Genomic DNA, 25,604 nt, shown 5'->3' on the forward strand with positions numbered 1-25,604 from the left:
AGCTGGCGAGGGTGGACGGGGATGCCCCTACGGACCCTCTTCGGAGAAAACAAATCGCCGCTGAAATTTCCCCCACCCCTCCCATCACTACCTTTTACCCCTCCTCTGCCTTCCCCTCTCCTTAGATGACTCAACCACAGATTCCACTGAAAGGGGGTGGGGGTGGGGGTGGGGGGGAATATATACACATACACACAAATTATACATATATTATACATGTATTATAAAATATACACACACATACATATATACATACACACACATATACACATATGTACACACACACGCACACACACCAAAGAACATCAGGAATGCAGTTGCGGGATGAACGCGTTTGCCCAAGACCGAGTGTTAAAATGGAGTCATAAGAGTCGCCCCGTGCGGGTGTTTATAGAAGGTGAAAACACGCAGGTTTGCAGGCCAGCGCACTGGGAACCGAGTCAAGCGCGCCGCAGCCCGGGCCCCGCCCCCGCCCCCGCCGTGCCCCGCCCCCACTTCCTCCCGCCCCTCGCTGGGCGGCTATTAAAAGCTGCTGACGTCAAAACGGACGGCCATCTTTGATGAGGGCAGAGCTCACGTTGCATTGAAGACGAAACCTCGGGGAGGTCAGGCGCTGTCTTTCCTTCCCTCCCTGCTCGGCGGCTCCACCACAGTTGCAACCTGCAGAGGCCCGGAGAACACAACCCTCCCGAGAAGCCCAGGTAAGAACCCCCCTCCCCAGGTCGTGGCTCTGGCTCGGGATGGCTGCATACCCAGAAGGGACAGCAGCTGGGCAGTCCGAGTGGGCTTGGGTAAATACAAGTATTGGTGCACTTAGGGTGCGGTATTCCGTGTGTGCACGTCTGGTGGGGGCTTTATAAAGTGTTTTCGAGGTGAGCTGCTGGGGAAAAGGGAAACGGGAGCCCTGCAAATGGAGCGACGGGGAGGAAGAGCGAGGGTACGTACCGAATAATAACTTACTCTTTTGAAACAGTAGTGGGACCCCCTCTTTCTTCCATTTTGCGATGCAGTTTTCAGAGATATTTAGGCTGTTGAGTTTTCCTCCCCTGTCGTTCTAACCCTATTATTATGACTGTTGTCGTTAGGGTGCTATTATCCAGGGAAGAATTAAGGGGGAGACAGGGTGTGGGTGCTGGGGAGGCGAAAGGAGAAAGGGGGAGTTCCCGCCCCGGGCAAGCTGAGCTGCTGCAGCGACAGCAGCCTCCATGCCCCGCGGACTTGATTTATGCCGCCTGCTCCACGTCAACTGCAGGCTGGCGGGAGGCGGGCGGGTCGTGCCGGGTGGGAGGGCTCTGCGGAGGGCTGGCGCGGGTGGGCTGGCTTCGGGGACTGCGGCGGCCCGCGCTCAGCACCCTGGATAGCAACACCGAGGGCTCGCGCGGGCGCCCTCGACCTTTCAGCACCGGGGACAGCGGTCCGGCCGCAGCGCCTCATCTGCCTGCGGCAGAAATGCCTGGCCGGGGCTGGATGTGCCAGGGCTGGAGACCAAATTGTCTCCCTGAGACCCCGGTCTTACGGAGACCCTTAATAGAGGAGTCATAGTAGCTTAAAAGAAAACAAGAAAGAAATAAATCTTCCTCACAGAGACTCCTTTGCAGACAATTTCCTGTTCCCCTCCTCACCTCCTGCATAGCTTCAACAAAATAGTCTACTTGTGGAAATCTTCTGTGTTGCCCTCTGACCCTTATTTTACGTAGAAAATAAATACATTTTTTAAAAAATATGGATTTATCCTCCAGCAGGGTATCAAGGTTTTTGTTTGGTTTTGTTTTTTAACACAGAGTAGATCTGTCTACAGATCTTGGGTGAGCATAAGTACTGTATATATGAAGAAGCCAATGCTATCTGTTTATAGGGATGATACATCTCTCTCTATGTTTCCATTTGATAAAAATGTGAGATTAGCTGAACTAAGCAGAATCAACTTTAAGAATGAATCACTCTTCCTTTTCCTTCTTCCCCCATCCTTGCAATCAGGCATGAATACAAGCATTCATCCACAAAAACACATATCTGAGAAATTTTACTGGTCCTGTACTGAATAGATTTAACCTCTTTGGCCACGGTTTCAGAGTTACTGGAAGTATTTGCTATCAGCACTGGTTATCGCAGGCTGATAGCTTTAGATTTTGACAATATTAAGACTGGCCTTCCTCAGGAGAATCCAAGTGTGTCCTTCAGGGTAATGCAGGTAAAGAACCATGGTGTTAAACTAGAACTTAACTCTGACCTAAAGGTCTACTGCAATTTCTCTTATGGCACTGCGGGATTTTGCTGAGGTGGTAATAACTACTTTAACCATTTTCTACTCTGAGGCTTGGAGCATCTGAGAGAGCAAAAGTCATCAGGGGTATTTCTCTCTGTTTGATGTAGATAAAACTGGCATAAAAATGACCAGAGTCAAAATTATGCCATTTGAGTCATTAGCAAAAAAGAGTAACAGCGTCATATGTAATAATCTATACAATGCATTAAAGAAACGCTATCATGATCCCCTTAAAAGACCCCAAATGAGAACTTGGATTGTGTTTAGATAGTCATACCTCCTATCATCTGTATGCTACAGACACTAAAATTCCCTGTCCATATACAGAAGGTAATTTCATTCGCTGCTATTTAATTATTTCCTAGTGTTTTTTCTTTTTATAGATGACCATGTGTTTCCATGTATGTATATGTTGATCTGTTATTTTGCATGGATGTAAAATTATTTGGGTGGACATTTATATATGAGTATGTAAACGTATAAAAGAAGTTTATAACTTTGCAATCTGCAGACAAAAATAAACAACTGTGTTTTAGTAGTGGAGGAGAGAAAATATGGGCAGGAATCTTTAAAAATGCTTTAACTTCATGCTGCATGTCCAGACAGCTGTCTGCGTAGTTGCGTCAAATGAAAAGCCTAATGCTGCCGGAATTACGTGCTTGGACATTAGTAATTACTGCTGGGTTTGTTTGCTAGTGGAAGACTGGGGAGGAGCGGGGGAAGTAGAGGACCGCAGTGAAGATGGCAAAGGGCACAGAGCTGAGAGGAAGAAGCAATGTGCACAATTAGAAAGCTAATTTTAGAATAGCTTACTGAGAAATTTAAAAAATATATCATTGAACCATGAATTTAACATTTATATCATTGACAAGCTTCCAGGGAAAAAAAATCGAGAAATTTCCCATTTTAAGTTAGAATTTTTAAAATCCAGGGCAATGCGGTGAGAAGAGGCAGGAGCAGATGGACATAGGATGAGCCAGGAGTCATTCACACAGACCCTCTGATGCCTGTTTGTTCATCGGCATTTACTGCATTACCACCTCAGTGTTCAAATTACAGAACAATTTACAATCCTCTTAACCTCTTCATGGCAAAATCTCCCAAGAATTCACAATTTTATTTTTACTTTGTTAAACACGCACAACCACACATGCACAAACACAATGCAAACTACCCGTTAATTAGCTTGTCTAAAGATATTCCCAAGCTCTAAATGTTAACCCTTGAGTGAGGGTTATCAGCTGAAAGACATGTTTCTGCCAGTGACACCTAGAAGCTGCGTAAGCAGTCAGCCTTCAGCATAACACGTAGGTTTTGACGATTAGTAGAAACGAGAAAAATAATCTGAGAAAGAGGTTGAGAGAGGAGACATGAAGGAGAAAAATAGAAAATATGCTTTTTAGATAATTCACTATGAATAAACAATGTTTCTCACATTATGGGACTGCTTTACAATTCTATAAAAGAAGGAAAAATCTGTGTTTTAAGCCTCAGCGCTGGATACTTTCTGCAATGTCATCCCTTGTCAGCAAGTACCAACCTGATAGGAAGATACTGATCAATCGGTATTCACCGGATACAGAAATGAATCCCATGGGAGTTATAAAATTTCATGGTTTTGTCTTGACCTCAATAAGTTTAGCATCTAGCAATCTTAATAAAAGCAATAAACAATAAGTTAATAAATAAAACCAGAATTAAATGCAATAAAACATTAGAAGACAAATTTTGAGGACATATGTGATTAATTTCCAAGTGAATGTAACCAACAATAAGTAACATAAAATCAGGAGGGCGATATCGCAGTGGACTGGAACAATCTGAGAGAAGAGGCAGGCCTTGAGATGGCTTTTGGAGGTTGCAGAGAGGTGGGAGAGTTCTGTTAAGCTGAAGTCACAACATATGCAGAATATCAAGTTAGGCAAGCCCACTCTACAGTTGGCAAACCCTGAAAATGCCCATTGATTTGGGTGGAGTGGGAAGCTTGGAGGGAATAGGCTGGGATGCAGAGTTGGAGCCTTCTGTGGAAGGCTTTGAATGTCAAGCTGAGAATTTGGTACTTTATCCTCTAAAGTTGATTTCTGAGCAGAAGCTGATATAACAAAGTAACCAGGTCTTTTTAATATCCAGAAATTACTATTGACAGAGTGGATTTAATTTGCATTCTTCCAGAAGTAGAGGGGAGCAAATTGGTATCATAAGAGATGGTTAATGAAAAAAAATCAGTCCTTACTGAAGCATCTTTTAAGACTACTTTTCAGGATACATATACCTACATAGACATATAATTCCTGCTTGGAAGTTAATTGCAAGTTTCCATTTTCCATTATTGACTAAATGAAATTATGCAAGTTGAGCACTTGCCAGGCAGACTGAAAAGAAAGTCAAGAATCTGGTGATGAGACACCCCAGAAGGTCCCAGAAGGTGCACTTGAATAATAAACATGGTGCTGAACACTCTCTTGCCCTCTGTGAATATTCAGCATTGTCAAGTGCACTGACGGGAGGAATGAAAAAAGTTGTCATTTCTTCTGAGCATGTTTTGAGCAGCATGACATATAGGACCAGCCCCAAGTGGCTAAAAATGGGAGGAAAAAGATGGAATGGTAGAATTTTGAAAAACTGGAATGGGTAGTATATCAGATTTCTTTCCCTGCCTATTTTGCTGACTCTTGCTAGTTACCCTCACTTCAGGGCTACCTCGAGGTCTGGATTACACCCATTTCCTTTCTAACCTTGTGGTTACTACTCTCACAGAAGAGCTTCAAAAATCCAAATGCTGACAGAATTGCTAAGCCAAAATAGTCAGTGGGTTCATGTAGAGGAAGAAATGGCAACGGTAGATACAGATTTTACTGCCATTTCATTTCTGGCTATAAGGTATCAAGAGACTATCCTCATCTATTCTTCACTAAAACACTGGCAGTAGAGACACCACAGGATAACATTTTTATATCCAAGCTGACTACCTAGGGGAAACTTAGAGGTAGTGACATTTGATGCTTTAGGAGGTCAGGTTGGTGGTTATTAAACTGAGTCCAGGGGCTACACAAGCATCAAGTAAGGTGAAGGAAGGAGATATGACATAGCACTGAGGAAGTAGGACATGATGAGGGGACAAAAAGTTAAAAAAAAAAGTCTTACAAGAGGAAAAAGACTTCATAGAAATTTCTAGAGAACCCCAGCTACACTGTGAACTCCTCAGAATTGCTATTATTGCCTTAACAATAATACCTACTCTTTCTACATAATTTTCTTCACAAGACTCTCAAGCACTTCACCCAATATGAAAGTCCAAGGAATTTCTGATTTCTAAATAAATAGTGCAACCCACAGACACATATGTTCAGATATAGTATTAGATCACATTTAGTAAGACATAAATTGATTTAGAATGACAGAGATACCCAAATCAGTGATTAATCAGAATGGGCTTATGGGGAAGAATGTGACACTCATTCTAAAAGTGTTTACCTATACTGGCTCACTGTATCCTCCTAACAACCTTGTGGTCAGATTACTATTATTATTTCCATTTCGCAGATGAAATAACTGATGCACAGCAAGGGTAAGTAACTTGTCGCAGAGCAGAGCCAAGACTTAAATGTAATCAGTCTGACTCCAGAGATTAAGCTATGAAGTGTATTTTATGCTACCTCTTGCATCATCCATATTTTTCATATTGGCCAAATAAGGCATAGAGAATGTACATGTCTTTTTTTTTTTTTTTTTTTTTTTTTTTTTTTTTTTGCAGTCTTTTCCTCCTCACTTGGGTAGCAAGGCCTGAAGGTAAGGATGCTGGTCAGAGCCAGGAGACCCAGCTCTAGCCCTGAAACAACTGCTTGTAATTTCCTGTTTGGAATTACACAGTCTTTAAATTAGTCAGTGCACCACTGTTGAACTTGGTTTCTTTACTGGCAGAATGATAGAAGTGGACTAATGATGTCCAATATCCCTACCATTCAAAAATCAATGAAATCAGTGCTGAAAACCCCAGGCAATGGGTCCTGGCCTAGTGACCGATGGCCTCAGCTGGCATCATCTTAATAATGCTTCAGTAACTGATCTGGACCCAATTGGAAGATTAATTACATTCATCGCCTCCCTCATCCCAATCCTTATTTTTTCCCCCCTCAGAATTGCTTGCCTTCATCTTTCTGAAGCCTTCTCAGAGTTAAGAAATCCTGTCTTCTTCCTCAAAGCCCTATTCTGAGTCATCACTGCTTTGGGTATCTCCTGTCCTTCTCAATCAGATTTGTAGCTATCTAGCACATACTGTCTCCTACAACCTGCCTAAACTTTGTATAAATTTCTTTCTAGACCTCTTCTTGATCATCTCGTGTGTCTGACTTAGCAATGTATTAGCTGCAGTTCCCTCACTCATCCTCTTACTTCTTCTGCCGCTTAGCAAAGAGGAAACAGAAGCTTTTATAGAATCTGTGAGCTGTAAAGTACTTTAAAAGTAACATTCCTGTGTGACCTGAATCTCATGATACTGATAGCCAGCTCAAAAACTAATCACATTGGGAGGATGTGGGGTAAAATGACATCACAGGAAAGCTTTAAAAACATAGGACAAGGAGAGAAGGAAGCTTTAAAGCCTATGAGGTCAGAGGTCAGCAGTTGGTGGTACAATGTTGATTAATTAAATTCATAGTCACACATCAAATAAATTCACATGTCCCGGAGGGGAAAAAAAAAAAACACATTCGCCTTGTCACAACCTACTGCAGATTTCAATGTCTTTCCACCAAGGTAAAACATGGTATCACAAGAGGAAATCCTAACTGATTTTCTTATTGTTGACTACAGAGGTCAACCTCAGCAGTGACTGACTTACTGGTAAGAACAAATCTGTATCCCTAAAAAGAGATGGGGGGAAATCCTATTTAAGGATTAGCATTTCCTTCTAAATGCTTAACAATGATTCCAGAGAAATTCAGTCAAATGATGCCTGCTCCCGAATGATGCTGAATAACAGCTGTACTGGGCTTATGGCTTGCTTTCTTTGGTTGTGGAAAAATATATTTCATCCTCTTCTTTGCTGTTGTTGATATGGTTCATATTACTCAAAGATGTCTAATTCTCATGTCTTAAATTGAGACTGTTGGCACTTTCTGCTGACTCATTGTGTCTTAATCTTCCAAGGTGGTCCATTTTTACTTAAAGAAAAAGGTTATTTTCCTCCAAAGTGGCAGGTTCTACAAAATGACCATCTGGTCCCAGCTTCCCCATCACTTCCTTTATTCAAATGACACTAGTCACAGATCTTGAACTTGAGAGATGACTTTCCATGCCTGTAACCTTGAATCAGTGGTTTCTGTCCTTTACTGATAACAGCAAGTAAAAAAATGAAAGTCTCTTAGGTGCCCCCCTGAGGCCAGAGTTCAGCCCTACACTCCTGCCTCATTCCTTTTTCAGAGAATTTTCTCAGTTGAGCTCTGAAAATCCTGCAAGTTGGACAGAGTTCCCTTTCCATGAAGAGTCTCAGACCAAGTTGTTAATCTCCTTTATTTATGTTCATCTTTGGTACAGTTTCAAAGAATAATAACTGGCAAATTCCAAAACAGTGAATTTCTTAAATTTCCCTGCAGTTATTCCGAAGTTGGTCTGGCAGCTAGGTATAGGTAAATCACACTGTGACTTCTCTATCAATAAACAGAAAATGCACAGAAATAAATGCCAGAAAGACTGCTAGGAAGAACACTGGCAAACTATTTCAATACGCATTAGCCTTGTTGAGTGAATTTTTTATTTTAATGGGAAAGTCCATTCCTAATTTATGCCAGAGAAATTGCTGAATGTATCTACTTTTTCCAATTCCATGATCACTGCCCATGTATTGCTTCATCATAAATCAGCTGCTATTATGGCATTCTTCATTAATTAATCCATTGAACAAATATTTATTGAACACCTGCCATGTACCAGGAAAACATACACTGGTTCCTAAAGTCAGAGCTGTAAATAAAATCATCATGTTTCTGCCCTCCATGTGTTATGCTAGGTGTCCCCTCTTGAGGTGTCATTATTTTAAAAGGCATGTTTCAATGGGATGCCTTTTAGAATCTAAGACATTAATTCAATGTAGAAAAGAGCTATGGCTCTCTAATCAAAATATACAATCTATTGAAGGTTTCTACTGAGCTGTCAGTATCTACAGAGAGATTGCTATATCATAAACAAATACATATTAAGAACCAGCCTCAGCCATCACCGAACTCAGTAAATATCTAAGGTATGTCTTTGTGTGAACTTGTCTCTATTTACATGGCAATCAACTAGGATGTCACTAAAATGTCCCTTAAATACATGACTATATTCCAGTATCCCAATCTGTTGGGATCTCTCCCTGTAGAGACCACTTTCTGCCGCTCATGGGAGGAAGGGGTCAAGCTTTAAGAAACATGGTACCTCCTGGGCCAGAAATCCTATTCCCAACTCCAAAACTCATGGAGCAATGCAAGAATAGGTTGACTAAGAAAGGATCCTTTGGATGAGAGTACTTCCCAATCCAATCCACTTTCCTCCTCTGAAAACTTCCTGTCATTAAACAAAGTTCAGTGATTCGGGATCAAGTAGAATTATGTAGTGATTCTGGATCAAGTAGAATTATGTCTTAATTTCCCAAACTCCTACTTCTAGAAATTCACCTCTTACCAATGAGCAATGCCCCTATCTCCCTTGTAAGATTGATCACACTGCTTTGTAGTTACCTACTTATGTATTTCTCTTTCTTAATAGACTTTGGAAGTCTTTGAGAGCAAGGGTAATATCTTAGCTTTCTTTGAATCTTCAGTACCTATAACAGTGCCTGCCACACCCATGTATGCAGGAAATAAGTGAGCGAATGGGGATACCAGCTACCCCTTTGCAGAGAAAAGAATTCTACCACTGTAAGTAATCCTGCTTTTTATTGATCAAATGTTATGATCAGAATAACTCAGGAATTGTTGTGTACCCTTGCACATAGATTCATCCTAAATATTGGAATAAAATTATGTCCCAAGGAATTACTTAGGTTTACCCTAACTAGCTGCCAAACTATGGCAAATGGTATAATATTCTAATCTGTTGTTTTATCACTTATGAGTCAGGAGTTAAAATGCTAACGAAGGATCAAAGGATTCTCAATAAAGGCATTGCTAAAATCAGGTTTATATTCAGAGATTAAAAGCCATTCACTAAGAGCATTTAAAGTCAAGCAGTTTAGCATATATGAATTATAAGTTTAAATGTTTTACTGTTCACTAGGATGAAAAGGATATTTCATACATCCATTTGAGACATATATTACATTCACCAGTGGGGTAGATTTATGGCTTTGGCCAACTTGTGTTTTCAGGGTCACATATTTGCTGCTGTGCTATTAGAATTGGCATGGTGGACACAAGTTTTTCATGTCAATTCCGCTTCCTTAAAAGTGTCCTTCAGAGACACCAGTCTCTGGGCTTTTCCTCTCAAATAGTCAGTGTCCTCTTGCCTGGGAGAGAATCATAAGCCTGGGCATGATTTGGTAAATAAGTCCCATTTGTCCTTAGAAAAAAACCTTCACCAGTTGAGCATTGAATTTTGCATATCTTTTTTCCCCATTCCTTCTCATGAAAACACGGGTTACTCTGCATCCAACTTTCTCCAGAGAAGACTGAAGATACTACCACTTAATGACCACAAGGAAAAAAGTAACTAACTTCCTAAATGTCTACTGTGTGCTGCACTGGGCACTTGATGTATGTTGTTTCCTTTATTTTCCATGGCAGCCTTAAAAGAGTTCGGAACACTTGTCTCTGACTGCAAAGTCCATGGTTTTCCCCACCACCCCATAAATTATCCCATGAGTTGCACAAAATACATTGAGATCCTCTAACAGAAAGCACACTGCTGATACATAGAACGTGAGTCAGCCAAATCTAAAAAGCTGAGTCCTCCAAGCTAAATAGCCAGGTGAGATATGGTGGTGTAAGTGACCAGAGAAACTATGTGTCCAAACAAGTTCATGGAGCAATGGGTGGAGAGTCAGCTGGCTGCATGCCAGCTCTGCCACTTCAATTGTATAACCCTGAACAATTTACCTAATCTGAACTGAGCCTCACTTTTATTTACATCTGTAAAAGGAGAGCAATTGCTGCCATGCATATATGTCAAGTGGTTGTCGTGAGACCTAAAGGAGCTAATGCTTGTGAAGTAGTTACCTCCACCACTCTGAGAAAGAGGAAGGGACTGTTGTTATGTTCAGTTACCTGCTATTTGCCATACCAGATTTCCAGGGTTCTTTATTATAGGTTACATGAAGGCCATATGCTTCTTTTCCTCTTTATTGTTGTGTTTGCTTAAAAACAAGTCTTGGTATCACATATTTTTTAGCTTGATCAGCATGCATAATAAAATGGGGAAATATGTCAACAGCCTTTGATTTTTCTATTTGGGGAAAGATTTTTAAATGCCTTTGATTAGCATCTCTGCTTTGGGAATGACCTCATGTTTCTCAGGGTAATGTTTAGATACCTGAAGAGGCCCAGTTGTTATTTAAACACTGGTCCCCTCTTCCTTAACATCTTGTATTTTAAAGATGCTTGAGGAGTTAAAAGAGATGATATGCAATATGTCCTGCTATTCTTTAGCTTTTGAAAAAGAAATTTTCTGTAAGCTATTTAGTGAACCATTACTGAAGCTACATCTGTTGGCTTCATTTTATATTCAGCTTTGTGTTAAGGATTTTTGTTGGGGGCGGGGATAGGTTTCTTATTAAATATTGTGTGTGCACATGTGTTTTTGTATGTGCACACAATACACAAGCAGAGAGATGCAAACCCAGACTCTTTCTTGGAGCCAGCCTTGAATACAAAATTCCTACATGCATCATCTCATTGTCAAAACCTTTAGTTTTATTCATAAACCAATAAATATAAAACCTGCACAAGCAAGTTACAAGAATAGCAGAATCTGTGCTCCTAAGCTGCATTCACAGAATGATTTTTCTTTAAGGTTGGAAAAGGCTTCCAAAACAACCCTATATAAAGCAATGACTTCAAATTCTGCTTTGGGGAGAAACTCTACAGACAGGAGAGCTTGCTGGGGAAAGATTTTGAAAGTCACACTATTTTTTGAGCATCTACTATGTGGTAGATATTATGTTAGGCTATCGTTGCTTGTTTTGTATTTATTTTCTACAGCAACCTTCTGAGTGGCAGGTTATACTTCACACTTGACTAAGAGACAATACTGTTTAATCAAGGTCTTGCAATGGATTCTAAGGTACTGATCACAACTCTTCCCCCGACAAACAAGTTCATACATAAACAGGGGTTAGTAATTAAAATACTAGGCATTTTGTTAAGCAGAATTTGGGGGAAAAAAGAAGAAGAAAAGAAAAGATTACAACCAGCAACCAGAGTCAGATTATCAGATTTCCTTACTCCTTTCTAGTTCTACTCCAAGATTAGACATTGGGACCTACCAAAGGAGAAAGGGCTGCAGAAATGTGTGTAGTCAGACAGGATAGCTAGAGAACCAAAGGCCCTTCTCTCCTTTTCCCACCCATACCCCCAAGTGACAGAACCTGCTTCCAGAAACTTGCAATCTGGGGGAGCAGAAAATGCAAGCTTGCTATAGGCAGGCAGATCCCAGAGAAAAAGCCAAGGAGGAGAACTGAGTTATACTTGCTCACTGCTTATTTCCCATCTCACAGAATACTTTAGTTGGGGGTGGGAGGGACAAGTAAAGGAAGGGGTGGAGGGAATATCATCCCAACACTCATCTTCCCAAAGAACGGAGAGTCCCATTTTGTGGGACAAAGTAGGAATTGATGAGTCTTTGAGAGGGGGAAAATGGTTCCTTCTTCTACACAGTTAATAAGAGAGAGAACTTGAGTTTGAATTTAAGATCTCAAGTGCAATGACCTTCTACAATCAATGATTCATTACTCTAGGACACTTGTTCTCAAACTATGGTGTTTAGCAGCATCAGCATCACCCAGGATTTTGTTTGAAATGCAATTCCCAGGCCCCACACAGACCTACTGAATCTGAAACTCTAGGGCGAGACCCAGTAACCTCTGTTTTAATCATCTCCAGGTGATTCTGATGCATGCTCAAGTTTGAGAACCACTGCCCTAGAGATCTTTGTTGTTCCTTCAAACCTTCACATCTGTCTCAAACTGAGCCTGTTGAGGATGAGGTGTTTTCACTGTTCTCAACCTTTCAAAAGTTGTGACTGGGTACTTAGCAAGAGAAGAGCTGTCCTGGACCATTGGATAGAAATCTCCATTTACCCTCTGATTTAGTAATGAAGATGCTATTTTTCTTCCAAGTGAGTTTGAAGGATGAGGAAGGTGAGCATTCACAGAGTGAGGACAAGTGTGTGGGATGGGGGCCAACTGGCTCCTTTATTGTGCTTTGTTTTCTTCAACAGTGGCCCAATCCCAGCCCCCAGAATCTTGTCTCCAAAGCTTAAAATCTCATCAAATAATAGGACATCTCCTTTCCTCTTTCTGCAGTCCCAGCCCATAGCCTCTGAAGGATACCAAATAGGAAAAAGTGTCCCCAGTGCAAAGGATAAAGGAGTTTCTATCACTCCTCCTCTGTGTCACCCCCCACACTTCCTGCCCCCATCCCTCAGCAATGAGCTACCACAGAGGCAGAGAGTCATCCTGGCCTTTTCTACTCATCCCCTGCAATGTCTTGTTTCTGCCCTGGATTAAAATACCAATTGCCCTTGGGAAAAGGATCCTGATGTCTTACATTGCCCTTTTTTTCCTGTCCTCCTCTTGCTTAGAATCATGGGTTCAGAGCACTTGCTGAGATTTTTAAATTGTATTTTCAAAAACATTGCAGATGACCAGGCCCAGAGATAAATTTCACACCAAGGTCACAGGGTGAGCACTGCAGCCAAGGCTCCTGACTCAAGCTTCAGCTCTTCTTCCACTGCCCTTTACTGCCTTACCACATCTGCCTCCATCTCTTCCAAATTTTCTCTCTGGTGCAGGTCCAATCTCCTGGAGTTTCCAGATCCCCAATCAGGAATTCTCTCAGTCTGTTGTTACACTCAGAGGTCTTGGCCTCAAGTGGTGTCCCAAACTCTACAAAACAGGGTAGGAACATTCTCATAACCCTGAGCTATCAGGCAGAGCTTCCTCCAAAATTTGGATGTACAGATTGTACCCAAACCCAAAATGTTTCACAATCTGAAACTTTTTGAGCACCAATATGACCCTCAAAGGAAATGCCTATTAGAGCATTTCAGATTTCAGATTTTCAGATTTGGGATGCTCAACTGGTAAACATAATGCAAATATTACAAAATCTAAAAATATCTGAAATGGAAAACACCTCTGGTCTCAAGTATTTTGGATAAGGGATACTCAACCTATACTGCTTACATCTCTTTGGATTTTTCATATTATAGAAACCCAGCTATAAGTGGTTTTGGCAACAATTGAGATTTATTGGCTTAAACAATCTAAGCAAATGTTGAGCAGTCAAGCCATAGGAAAAGCAGAGACGTAGCTGGAATTCAGGAACAACTCAATCCCAGTGTGCAAACATTACCAAAGCTCTCTCTTTCTCAGCCTCCTGTCCCTGATTCTTTCTGTACATTGATTCCACTTTCTCTTGTTGAAAAACACTTCCTCCCTCCCCATACCAGAAACATACACATGCGATTTGTACTCTCTGGACTTCCACTATGGAAAAGGAACTGACAATTGTTGTCTGTATCCTCGATTCAAAAATACCAAGGAAGATCTCTGATTGGCATAGCTTGGGCCAAGTGCTCAATCAATTGTGGGTGTGGAGTGGCATGGAGGAATGTGATTTCCATGCTGGAACCACACAGTTCAGTTGGGAAGAACCAGTTGCAAAGCAGACACAGTAAGCCATCTTTCCTTATTTTCTCCAAAAGGTTGGGCTGAATAGCAAACCACAGGTAAAATCTCTGCTGCTTTGGAAGAATAAACTACTCACCTCTGAGAACATTAAGGAGACTTCACAGAAGTGAGGAAGGATGTTTCTTTCACCTTTCTGTGCTCACACTAGCCTGGTTCTGCAGGATATTCCCTCCACGTTACAATTCATTCGCCAAATATAGATTGTGCCTCCACCATAGACTAGGCACAGTTCTAAGCAATGGTAATAAGCAGAGAACAAAGTAGATGAAGTCCTGTTCTCATAGAGCTTACCTTCTAGTAGAGAAAGACAATGCTATGAGTTAAAGAATGCAGGATAGAGACATAGAGTGATATACCCCAAGGAGGTAAAATGATGATTTAGAAAGAGCTATGAGAGAATGCATCTCTGAGAGGCAGCATTTAAGCAGAGACCAAATCATCTGTGGGCTCAATGATTTTTATGCCCCTTTCCCGCAATAACATCAGCAGAACTCCAGCACTTGATCCCTTTATTTTTCAACAATAAAAATAAACTTAACCTTGATCTGAATCATATAGATCTGCTTTCCCATCATTTTCTCATTTGTCTCCCCAATTTCATGACCAGGCACACTTACAGCTCAAGGATACAGTGAGAGAAAAGAACTTCATAAAATCCAAACAGTCCACAGTGGCTGAAAATAAGGGATAACTGGTCCTCTGGTTCACGTCTTTCCTCCTCTGGCTCATTTTGCCTCCTATCATGACCATATTATGTGCACAGATATATGGATGAGCTGGGGCACCTATGGCCTGTGTGGGCTAAAGGGCTCAAAGATTAGAGCCAAACCAAAGATTCTGTCACAGGATATTAAACTGGGTGGTGAATTCCCATTAAGCCTAAGATTCCTTCCAGACCTGCTTAGGCCACATCCCATGTAAGCTTTATGAAAATATATGCAACCCAGAGGGAAAAGATATGAATGTGATTCCTTGACCCAGCCAACCGTAACATTTATCCTTGTCACAAATTTTCTTGGACACAGTGAAGGAAGGGAAAGGGAGAATCTCCTTCCTCTGCATTTACTAACCAAAACCCATCGTTCCATCAATCACAAAAAAGGCCCAGTGTAAAGCTGAGTTGTCTCTGGTCCATTGAGAAGGTAAGCATTAAGGGATGGCATCTAATTGGATAATGGGATGCAGGAAGGCATACAGACCCGAGAACTAGACCCTCTTCTGCTTCTCTCTCAAGGTGGAAGAACTGGGCCAAATATGCTGTTAGGCTGCAAGATTGTGCCTCTGGACCAGCAAATTTAGTTTCAAGATCACGTTCTCCCTCGACTTGTTCTATTCCCTTCTTGTCCTAGTATCTCAGGCGTCTGGTTTTCCTTCCTTTTTATTTCTTTAAGCTTGTTTTCAACTTTGTTTGCCTGCGTGTAGCTTTTTGTGTATTATTGAATTGGAAATTAGTCCTCCACCTTAGGGCTTGAGACTCATATGGGTGGCTCTTTTATGTGCTTTTTCCTCCCAACTCTATTAACAATTTTGGCCCAATGGATCACAGTTGGCTTCTCAGTGAAGCAGGCGAAGTTCCCTTAATCATTTCTGAAGTTCTCCTTTTGGATATGACAGGCTGGTAACTTAAAAGAACCATGTCCTACATAGATAGACTTAAGTTTTTTCAGGTCACTTACCAAGCAATTGCGTTGATTTATTCTGCGTCTGTTTAATGATCCTTGTTTCTTTTTTCTCAAATTGTTTCCCCACTATTATTTAATTTTTTTTTTTGAACTTCATCACAGTTCTGGAAAGGAAGATGATACAGAAACCACAGCCATTTTGCAGATATGAAAACTGGGACATAGAAATTTGACTGCCCTGGAAAAGATCACCTACTTATTTGATGACAGAGCCAGTTCAGGGATGAAGGTTAGCCAGATGTCCAGTTCCCCAATCTTGTTCTTAATCCATAAATGGAACACTAGTGCTCTATAGGCTTAATACTACCCACAAATTTATTTTATTTGGCTAGTACTGGATTTACAAAATCGTTAATCTGAAATGCCTTAAGGCAGGGTACTTCCTCTCCAATTTGCCGCAAAGCCTACCATTACTTATGCCCAAGGCATAATTTTCATTATTCTCCCAGCCCTATAGGCATTTGAGATTGCTTCCATTGCTTACAAAAGTTGTGCAATTTGTCATGGTTTTATGATCTGCCAGAATCAGAAATGGCTAGAAGTTTCTTGGGTTATTTTACCACAACTCTTTCCTATGAATGTCTTCTTGAGTTATGTCAGTATTTGGGGAAACACGATTAGACATATAAATTGCACTAAATAGACTATGGCTTTTGATCTGAGTTGAATTCAAGCAGTCTCAGATTTTTGTTCTTCCCATGGATCCCACTGGCAGTATGGTGAAGATATACTGAAGCCACTTTCAGAGTGATACTTTTTAATGTGTAAAATAAAATAACATAAAATAAAATAAAATAAATAGGGATTAGCTGGGCATGGTGATGTGCACCTGTATCCCAGCTATTTGAGAGGCCAAGGCAGAAGGATCACTTGAGCCCAAGAATTCAAGGGTTCAGCGGCCTTGAACTGGACCATGCCACTGCATTCCAGCCTGGGCAACATAGTGAGACCCTGTCTCTGCAGAAATAAAGTAAATTAGTTGGGCATGGTGGCATGCACCAGCAGTCCCAGCCACTCAGGGGACTAATGTAGGAGAATTGCTTGAGCCCACGAGTTTGAGGTTGCGGTGAGCTACGATCATGTCACTGCACTCCAGCCTGGGCAACAGAGCAAGACCTCATCTCTAAAACATAAAAATTAAAAAATAAAAATAAATACATGGGGACTATATAGGAAACCAATTTTATTGAAGTACAACTATTAAAATATTTTTAGAAAAACCACATTTGTGGTATAATATGTGTTTTTTAATTAAAGCATTAAATAACAATATTTAGTGGTAAGTCTAATAGCTACCATAATTTCAAAGTGGTAATGAGAATATCTGCTATTTTGAGATATCTGCAACAACTGTAAAATGATATGAAGACGTCAGTGTCGAGCTCTCCTGAATCCCTGTGGGTGGTGGGATGGAAGAAAACTAGTCAAGTAGAGGGAGGAGTGGATCCACATGTCATCCAGGTCCAGTGAAACTGGCTGGCCCTGAAGCAGTTATTTTTCTTGTATAACAAACCACCCCAAAACTCAGTGGTTTAAAACAGCAACCATTTCTTATTGTGTATGTGTCTATGGGCTAATGAGTTAGTTCTTCAGTCAATTGGTAGATTGGCTGGAGCCTGCTTGGTGTGTTCACTCCCATGTCTAGTGGTTATTGCTGGCTCTTGGCTAGGGCATCAGGGGCTGGACCACATGTCTCTCATCCAACAGGCTAGCCCTAGTGTTGGCATACAGACATGGTGGGAGTTACAGAGTTTCTCAAAACAGCAAGAGAGAACAAGCCCCAATGTGCAAGTACCTTCCAAGTCTTTGTTGAGGCTACATTTGCTATTATCTCATTAACCAAAGTAAGTCACATGGCCAAGCACAGAGTCAGTGTGGAAGGGGGATTATGGATTTTGGGAGGGGAATTATGCCAACTATATTTACAAAAAATCAACCATAGTTCCCACCAATCTTGGGAGCATAGGTCAGAGAGAGCCCCACCTCTGCCATAGATAGATGGCCTCTGCCCATCCATCCTGTGGCTACACATCTTCCACTAAGTTCCACAAACCAGGAAACTTAGACCTGGCTTATTAGTACCCTGTCCCCATAGACCTTGGAGCCCTCAAGTTTAACTTTGGATATCCTTGGTTCAAGAGGGCACCTGAATATCTAGTTGCATCTCTCCAAGGTAACTAAGGAATCATAGACCCAGGTATCTGATCAATTCAGCAGGGAAGTCAAAGGGGAAATTTTCTCCTTTGAACATTGAGGATAAGTAAACTTTTCTGGATTCAAACTGGCAGGGTGGAGCAGGAGGGGATCAGCATCTTATTGTTTTATGGTAATGTTGCTTTATCTGTAATTTCACTTGAGCCTGTCTTGGTAAAGACGATTGCATTTTAAGTTTTTTCCCTGTCTCTCCAGAAGTGCCCTCTGTTTAAGCAAATTCTACCTTCTCATCTAATTACAAGAGCTACCCATAATGTTAAAAACAATTCTCTGCCAGTCCTCTGCCCAATGAGCACTTTGGTAATGGGAACACAAGGGAGGAGGCAATGGAAAAAAACTCTGAAGGCCTTTCAGCTGTGTTGCCGCGTCATGGAAAACAAGCCAAGCAACTGCGTGGAAGCCTCGCAGCAGGTCCCACCAGAGCCTTCTTAGCGATTCCAGGGATTAGCAGGGCACGGCTGACTCACCCAGCTGCCTAGCCAGGCACTTCCATAGGGCATTCTGATACCTGGCTGTACATTTGCTCGACTCACTTCAGATATCAAATAGAAGACCCCTAAAGATGAGGCCCTGGGCAGAACTGTCTGTGTCAGTTCCTGCACCAGCTTCAGTTTACTGAGCCTCCAAAGGAAAATACATAAATAAATAAATAAATAAATAAATAAATAAATAAAGGCTTCTAAATTCTTTGGTTGGAATGCTGTCCTAGGTTGAGCCCTCCCAAAAGCAGATCCTTAGTGAAGGACGAGGGTGCACATATTTTATTTGGGTGGTGATCCTAGGAAGCGCTGATGGGGGAGTGGAGAATCTAGACAGGGATTCAAAGAAAGTCAGTACAGGGGGCACTCATGAGCAGTTTGCCAGCTGCTGGGGCTCAGCCCAGCCAGGGACCTCTCTCAGAGAGAGTGTACAACATGCCTGGATTGCCTAACCTGAAAGGCAAGGAAGCTGGAGTATTATGCACCAACTCCCATCCTTCAGTGGCTAAGGGCTGTTCCCAGAGTGTAAACTTGCACCCAGCCCTGCAGGAGACAAATTCTACACCTCAGATTGGAGAAAATCCTAAGGCAATGAGTCTTGCCTCACTCACAGTAGAGGCACTAGCAGAAGAGGCCTTCAGAATACACAGAAAAGGCGAGTGCCAAGGGTATATGGTGGGCACCAACTGGCTGCTAGAATTTTGCCAACTGTTATCACCAGACACCCCAAGTATCACAATGGCTGTCTCCAGCTTTGGCACATTGATAGCTCGGACCTTCATTTATTCACTGGGTCCCTAGTGGGTACCATTCATTCAATATCTGTGTGCCAGGTACTGAGATAAAGTTTTTTCATACATCATCACATCCAGTTCTCAGGACAACATGCAGGGTATTATTAGCTTCATTTTATAGCTGAGAAAACCGAGGTACAATGAGGTTAAGTAAATTATCTTAAGTCCCTCAGCTTAAAAATAACAAAGCTGAGATTCCCATCCAGAGCCACTTTAAAGCCCAAGCTCTATCCACAGCAAGCTTCACCCCAATTAGGTGAGGAGTATTTTCTCCTGCTGAGAAAAGGCCCAGCCATGTCCAGCCCCCATACCACCATTTCTCCTGAATCCTTCTCTTCCTTTCTGGTCTTTCCTGTTCCTTTATCTCTTGTTTTCAGGTTGGCTCCATGGAATTAACTGATGTCCCTTCAGTGTTCTAGATCCTTTCTTGGGTAAGTGGGCTATCCCTCTTATCCTCCAGACCTCCTTACCCTAGGGGCTGGGATCACTGTCTGCATACTCAAGACATCTTTGAATCTCCAAGTCCTTAAACACTCTCCAACTCATACCCACCCACCCATGATCTGGTCTCGTTCCACCCACACATGGCAGGTGCTTTGGTGGATTCTACTGATTCTGGCATTCTAGTGGGGAAGGAATCATGGAACCATTTCTTTGTAGCATCTTGCAGGTTTAGGACTGATCTTACTGGTGGGTCCCAAGCAAATTGAACTGCTTGATTTGTACATAAGCATCAGGCCACAGTGTAAGCCCTGATTTACTGTGGTTAATATTTTAAAACTAAGATAGCATGCAGCAAGGACTAAGAGAGGGAATAATTAATTCTAGCCTGGCAGCGAGGGAGTGGGAGGGAGGTGGCAGCTCCTGCAGTCTCAGGGGGGCTCCACAGTAATAAACAAAACTGTAGCTTCCAGGTGGCAAAAAATATAAGGGGAATGGATGGGTGCAGAAGGATGCTGTGCAACTCTATTTTAGAGTCAACATATCCAACTTCATGAGGATCATACTATTATTTCAAAAAGAATATCAATAGGTTGGGCGTGGTGGCTCATGCCTGTAATCCCAGCACTTTGAGAGGCCGAGGCAGGTGGATCACATGAGGTCAGGAGTTCAAGACCAGCCTGGCCAGCATAGTGAAACTCCGTCTCTACTAAAAATAAAAAATTAGGCATGGTGGCAGGCATCTGTAATCTCAGCTACTCAGGAGGCTGAGGCAGGAGAATCACTTGAACCTGGGAGGCAGAGGTTGCGGTGAGCCGAGATCATAGCACTGCACTCCAGCCTGGGCGACAGAGCAAGACTCCGTTTCAAATAATAATAATAATAATAATAATATCAATAAAGCATCAATGCTGGCACCATCTCTGGTGGGGACTCAGAAGCCACTATCAGTGAGTAGCAGATTCTCTCCATCCAACACAGGCCAAAAACAAAAAATAAAGTTAGACCACAACATAATGTGACAGAGGTTGTTGATGGAAAATGCCCTGGTATAGATTAGGGAGCATTAATTTTATACACTGGTTCCAAATGGAGCATTTAAATGACAAAATCTAAAGTGTTTTATAGAGAAGGAAGAGTAGGGGGCCTCGAGTCATTCAAACCTCATTTTAAATCCCATCTTAGATTCCAACTCCAGGTTCTTTTGAACCACTGAGTGTGCCGTGCCACCTCTGTGGCTGTAGACAATAGTCGAATTTCATGCACACATATATGAAATTCACATAGGTGATATTTCAGGTAATGTAAGTGCTCTGAAGACAAATAAAGTAGGAGGAACAGAGAGAACGAAGGAGATACTATATTTGGACAGAGTGGGCATTCATCTAAGAATTTTGGCTTTGGAACACAATTGAATTCTTTCTTGGCCCAAGCCTGTAGATCTTTTTAAACTACAAAGTAGACTTCATTTGGTGGCTGCAGGCAGGTGTACAAGCAGGGGAGAATTATTTCAAAAAGTCATTACAAATTTCACATGCTCCCATGCACTAACTGAGCGCTCTATGCATATGAAGTCATTTGCTATTCACTCTGCCAAATGCAGTAGGTAATCTCAACATTTCCACTTACAAATGGGGAAACTGAGGTTCTAAGAAGTTACAAGGAATATGCCCAGAATATGGAATATGACCATGCTAGTCAGTGGGGTGGCCATCCCTGGAACCTGCATGACCTTGGGGCAACGCTTCTGTGCTACTCCACAATGTCCCATGAGCCCTCCCTAAGTAGAGGAGCAGAGGAGGACAAGACAGGGTAGAAGCCCCCTGACTTTGGGGAGGCAGCAGCAAGAACCTACAGGGGCCTTTCTGGAACCCGGGTGTATTCATTAGCTATTGCTCTGTAACAATATTACTGCAACCCCAGTGACTTAAAGCAACACACATTTCTTATCTCGCAGTTTTTGGGAATCACGAGTCTGGGCCCAGCATGGCAGGGCTCTCTCCTTAGGGTCTCCCAAGGCTGCTGTGCAGGGGTCAGCTAGGGCACATTTTCATCTGCAGCTTTCTCCACTTCCAAGCTCATTCAGGTTGTTTGTAGAGTTCACTTCCTTGCATCACCCTGAGGGCCCTGTTTCCTGGCTGGCTGTCATCCAGGAATCATGCTCAGTCCCTTACCACGTGACCCTCTTGGGGCAACTCACAACATGACAGCTGACTTCAAGCCCAGCAGAAGAATCTCTCTCTTCAGGAAGGGCCGGTCCTTCTTTTAAGGGCCTTCATCTGATTAAATCAGGCCCAACCCAGGCAATCTCCTTTTTTACTTATCTCAAAATCAAGTGATTGGGAGCCTTAATTATACACGCAGGATCCATTTACGTTTCCCTAATATCATAGCTAATCACAGAATGGCATCCTGTCATGCTCACAGGTGCCCCCCATGCTCAAGAGAAGGAGATGATAAAGAACTTGGGCACCAGGGCACAGAAATGCTGGGGGTCATCTCAGCATGGCACCCTGCATGCCAGGAAAGCGTGATCCTGCTTCCTTCTGCCATTCTCCATGCCTCCCTCCAAGGCTGCAAGTGTTCCTGCCCTACAGAGAGCCTTGGTCCACATCACACAGCCAGAGGCCTTCCAAACGAACATTTCTTAGCCGCCAGGCCTCGTTCTGAACTGGGTAATTGTGATGTTTGCAGACCCATCCACCTGCCTGAGTTGGGGCCTACATGCATTGTTCTGATCATGATTGCCTCAATCTACAATCATCCCTCCAGAGGAGGCTAGGCTCGCAGAGCCCTGGAAGAGCAGGCAGGGGGCTCTGGAGCATTCAGTCTTTCAGTGTTTGCCATTAGCGACCTGGGGAGTGATGCGAATGGCTTCAATTGCTCCGTGGAGCCAGCAATCACAGCAGGCTTTGGGGGTCCCTGACATGAGCTGGAGAAAAGCCTCTGTGAAGCAGCTGCCAGGGTAATGGAAATGCCCTGCTGCCTTGCTGCGCTTCCATGGAGCTGGGCAAGAGTCTAGGGCTGCGTGCCCTGCTCAAGAGAGGCCCAGTGTGAACTGCAGGGCCGACATGGGCTTTCCTGATGAAGCTGTTCTTGCGCCGAAGAGAACTGCAGAGGCCTTGGCTGGGAAGGCAGGAATCAGTATGGGAGGGCAGGGTGGGTGCAGTGGGGGAAGTGAGGGCAGCATCTGTGTTCTGTGATTCACAGGCAACCTAGCAGTGTCTCCTGAGCCTCAGAGTGCATGGGGTGGCTCCGTACCCCAGCTGCTCATCACCCTCATCATCTTCATCATGCACAGTTGCAGCCCCCGGGTCCATCAATATCCCCTCCTCCCTCTTTCTGCCACTCCCCATGTATTTACTGAGCATCTATTACATGCCTAGTGCTGCTCTGGGCACTGAGTAAACAGGGGTGAACATGCCAGGCAATATTTCCTCTCGGGGTGATTAAATTTTAATGGGAAGGGGCAGACATCAGTCAGACAGATGGACAAGAAAAATATCAGATGGGGATGGTGGCTAAGTAAGAGATTGAAATAGGGTGAGGTGGTCGAGAGAGACGGGTCAGGGAAGGTCTCTCCAAGGAGGAGATGTTTATGCTGAGGCCTGATGACAAGAACGGCCAATCATGAGATGGTGTGATCAGGTGTTGCAGACAGTTCATGCCAAGCCTGAGGCAGGGGCAAGGTGGGTGCTTTCAAGACACAGCAATAGGCTGATGCTGTTGGAGAGAAGCGCAGAGGAAAGTGAAGTGTTAGGAGGGAGCCAGGTTAGCCAGGGCCTGCCAGCCTGCAGAGGAGACTGGCTTTTGTTCAAAGAGCCCTGGGGAGCCCTTGGAATTGTAACACGGAGATTGATACCATCTGATTTATCTTTCTACAAGATACTCTGGATTGGAGTGTAGCAAGGAGGTGGCTGCAGCTCCAGAGTATGACTATGGGTGAAGCAACCTAACCCAGGGAGGCAGCATTCCTTACTAGGGGATCCCTACTGGACAGTAATGGCCAGCGGGTGCGCACCATGGGAGCTGCTGGAGAACCCTAACTGCTGTCTCCACAGTCTCCGCCTGGAGCAGAAGAGAAGCTGATTCTAAGTCTGTTCCTAAATGCAGCAGAATGTATACGCAAGTGAGGAAGGATTCTCAAGTGAAACCTATGTAAGAAAGTGAGGGGGAAAGAATGGGGCGGGAGAAAGAAGCAAGCAAGGATGTGGTTGCAGCTGGAGACTAGCATCAGCTGATCCCAGAGGAGCCCTGGAGTGTGGATTGCATCACAGTTACTGCTGCCTTGACACTCGGAGTGCCAGGCTTTGGTAGCCCTGAACTGGTCAGTCATTCCAGCACAGAGTGGAGGTGTTAGAAACTCCCAGTAGGGGAGGGGGTTCCTGTGTCTCAAGGGCAAGGCTCAGGAGAAGTCACAGTTATAAACTCTAAGCCATGTGAAGCCTGGCATCTGGGGAACAGGTGCACTTGCTAGTGGAAAGTAACAGGAATCTGGGCAGAGCACCTCCAGCATCTGTTATAGTGGCCACGACTTTACTGAGAGAGGAGAGGGAGGATGCCTAGACTAAGAAAGTGTCCTGCTGCAAGAAAGCACAGGACCCACATTTCTAAAAGCAAATGAGCTAACAGGAGGCCTGTTACAGGAGGAACCTCTCATTGCCTACAGATGCTCTCCAAATAGTCAGCTCCCAGTATGCACTTAAAATAGGGATCAATTTATGGGCATTCCATTCATCCAGCTTCCCAGGAATAAGTTCATTGCATTCTGGAAGGTTATATCTAAATATCCATTTAGCCAGCATAAAAGGAGATTAGGATTAGGTGCACTTAATCAGTACATTAGAATCTTCTACCAAAGGTATCTGATCCTGTTTCTGAGAATAAATGCAGAATAAACATGGCCTATTAGCAAGGAGTGGCTCTTCCTGTCCCCTGCTCTGTGATTGCAGAGAAGAAACCAGTAGCTAAGAAGTAGGGCCGCCTAACAGCTGCTTCTGTGATGGCCACAGCTTTGCTTAGGGGCACTGGCTTTACCGTTCAGCTGTGTAGCTCTTTAGAATGTAGATCAGTGGTTTCCAGACCTTGCCTGCACATCAGAATGCCCTGGGATCTTCTAAAAATCCAGAAGCCCAGGTCGTATCCTGAACCAACTGAATTACAATCTCTGGGAATACTTTTTAAATAAACTTTTTATTTTGAAATATTTTTAGAGTTACAGAAAAGTTGCAAGGGTGGTATACCTCTCACCCAATTTCCCCCATTGTTGAAACCTAACATTATCATGATACATCAATTACAACCAAGAAACCAACATGAGTACATTACTATTAATCGACCTCCAGACTTCACTTGGATTCCATCAGCTTTTCAATTAGTGTTTCTTTTTTGTTCCAGGACCAATCTGGGGCACCACATTGCATTTAATTGTCATGTCTCCCCTGTTTTCTTTAGTTTGTGACAGTTCCTCAGTCTTTCTTTGTTGTTCATGGCCTTGAGAGTCTTCAGGAGCATTGACAGGGATCCTGTGGAATGTCATCCAATCTGGGTTTGTCTATTGTTCTTGTAATGGAACAAGACTAGGGTTGTTAGACTCGGGTTATGGGTTTTTGGAAAGAGTGAAGCTAAGGTAAAGTGGCCTACTCATCATTTCATGTCAGGGGATACAGTAGATCCATATGACATTACTGGTAATATTACGCTCCGTTATTTGGTGAAGGTCATATTTGCCAGGTCTCTCCAATGTAAAGTTAGTATTTTTCCCTTTCCCTATTCTAATCTTTGACTGAGTCTAGCTCACTGTCAAAGTATGGCGTGTGTAGAGGTGGGTGGAAATCAGTCAGA

General features: G+C 43.0%; 1 protein-coding gene and 1 long non-coding RNA gene across 16 annotated transcripts in view, besides 2 other annotated features; one reads left to right on the top strand and one right to left on the bottom strand.

Annotated features, from left to right (window-relative positions):
- SNAP25-AS1 (SNAP25 antisense RNA 1) overlaps positions 1-1,230 on the bottom strand; it is a 195,695-nt gene extending 194,465 nt beyond the window's left edge. Inside the window, exon 1 of the long non-coding RNA NR_040710.1 lies at positions 961-1,230. This is a non-coding gene — a long non-coding RNA (SNAP25 antisense RNA 1). The remainder of the gene's footprint in view (positions 1-960) is intronic.
- SNAP25 (synaptosome associated protein 25) overlaps positions 554-25,604 on the top strand; it is an 88,589-nt gene continuing 63,538 nt past the window's right edge. For 7 of the 15 annotated variants that reach the window (NM_001322908.2, NM_001424415.1, NM_001322905.2 and 4 more), the window contains exon 1: positions 554-701. The gene's annotated coding sequence lies outside the window, so the exon portion shown is untranslated. Of the gene's footprint in view, positions 938-8,401; positions 8,505-9,010; positions 9,163-15,934; positions 16,062-19,696; positions 19,751-25,604 lie in introns of all 15 variants that reach the window. The other 8 variants (XM_017028022.2, NM_001322906.2, NM_001322907.2 and 5 more) reach the window with 7 other exon arrangements.
- Positions 22,228-22,729: an enhancer, noted in NCBI's record as "OCT4-NANOG-H3K4me1 hESC enhancer chr20:10221152-10221653 (GRCh37/hg19 assembly coordinates)". NCBI's record gives its function as "activates a minimal SCP1, AML or CMV promoter by ChIP-STARR-seq in naive H9 embryonic stem cells {active_cell/tissue: H9 hESC(naive)}" and the evidence as "EXISTENCE:reporter gene assay evidence [ECO:0000049][PMID:30033119]".
- Positions 22,730-23,230: an enhancer, noted in NCBI's record as "OCT4-NANOG-H3K4me1 hESC enhancer chr20:10221654-10222154 (GRCh37/hg19 assembly coordinates)". NCBI's record gives its function as "activates a minimal SCP1, AML or CMV promoter by ChIP-STARR-seq in naive H9 embryonic stem cells {active_cell/tissue: H9 hESC(naive)}" and the evidence as "EXISTENCE:reporter gene assay evidence [ECO:0000049][PMID:30033119]".

Source organism: Homo sapiens, chromosome 20 (assembly GCF_000001405.40).
Source record: "Homo sapiens chromosome 20, GRCh38.p14 Primary Assembly".
In the NCBI taxonomy this organism is placed as follows: domain Eukaryota; kingdom Metazoa; phylum Chordata; class Mammalia; order Primates; family Hominidae; genus Homo; species Homo sapiens.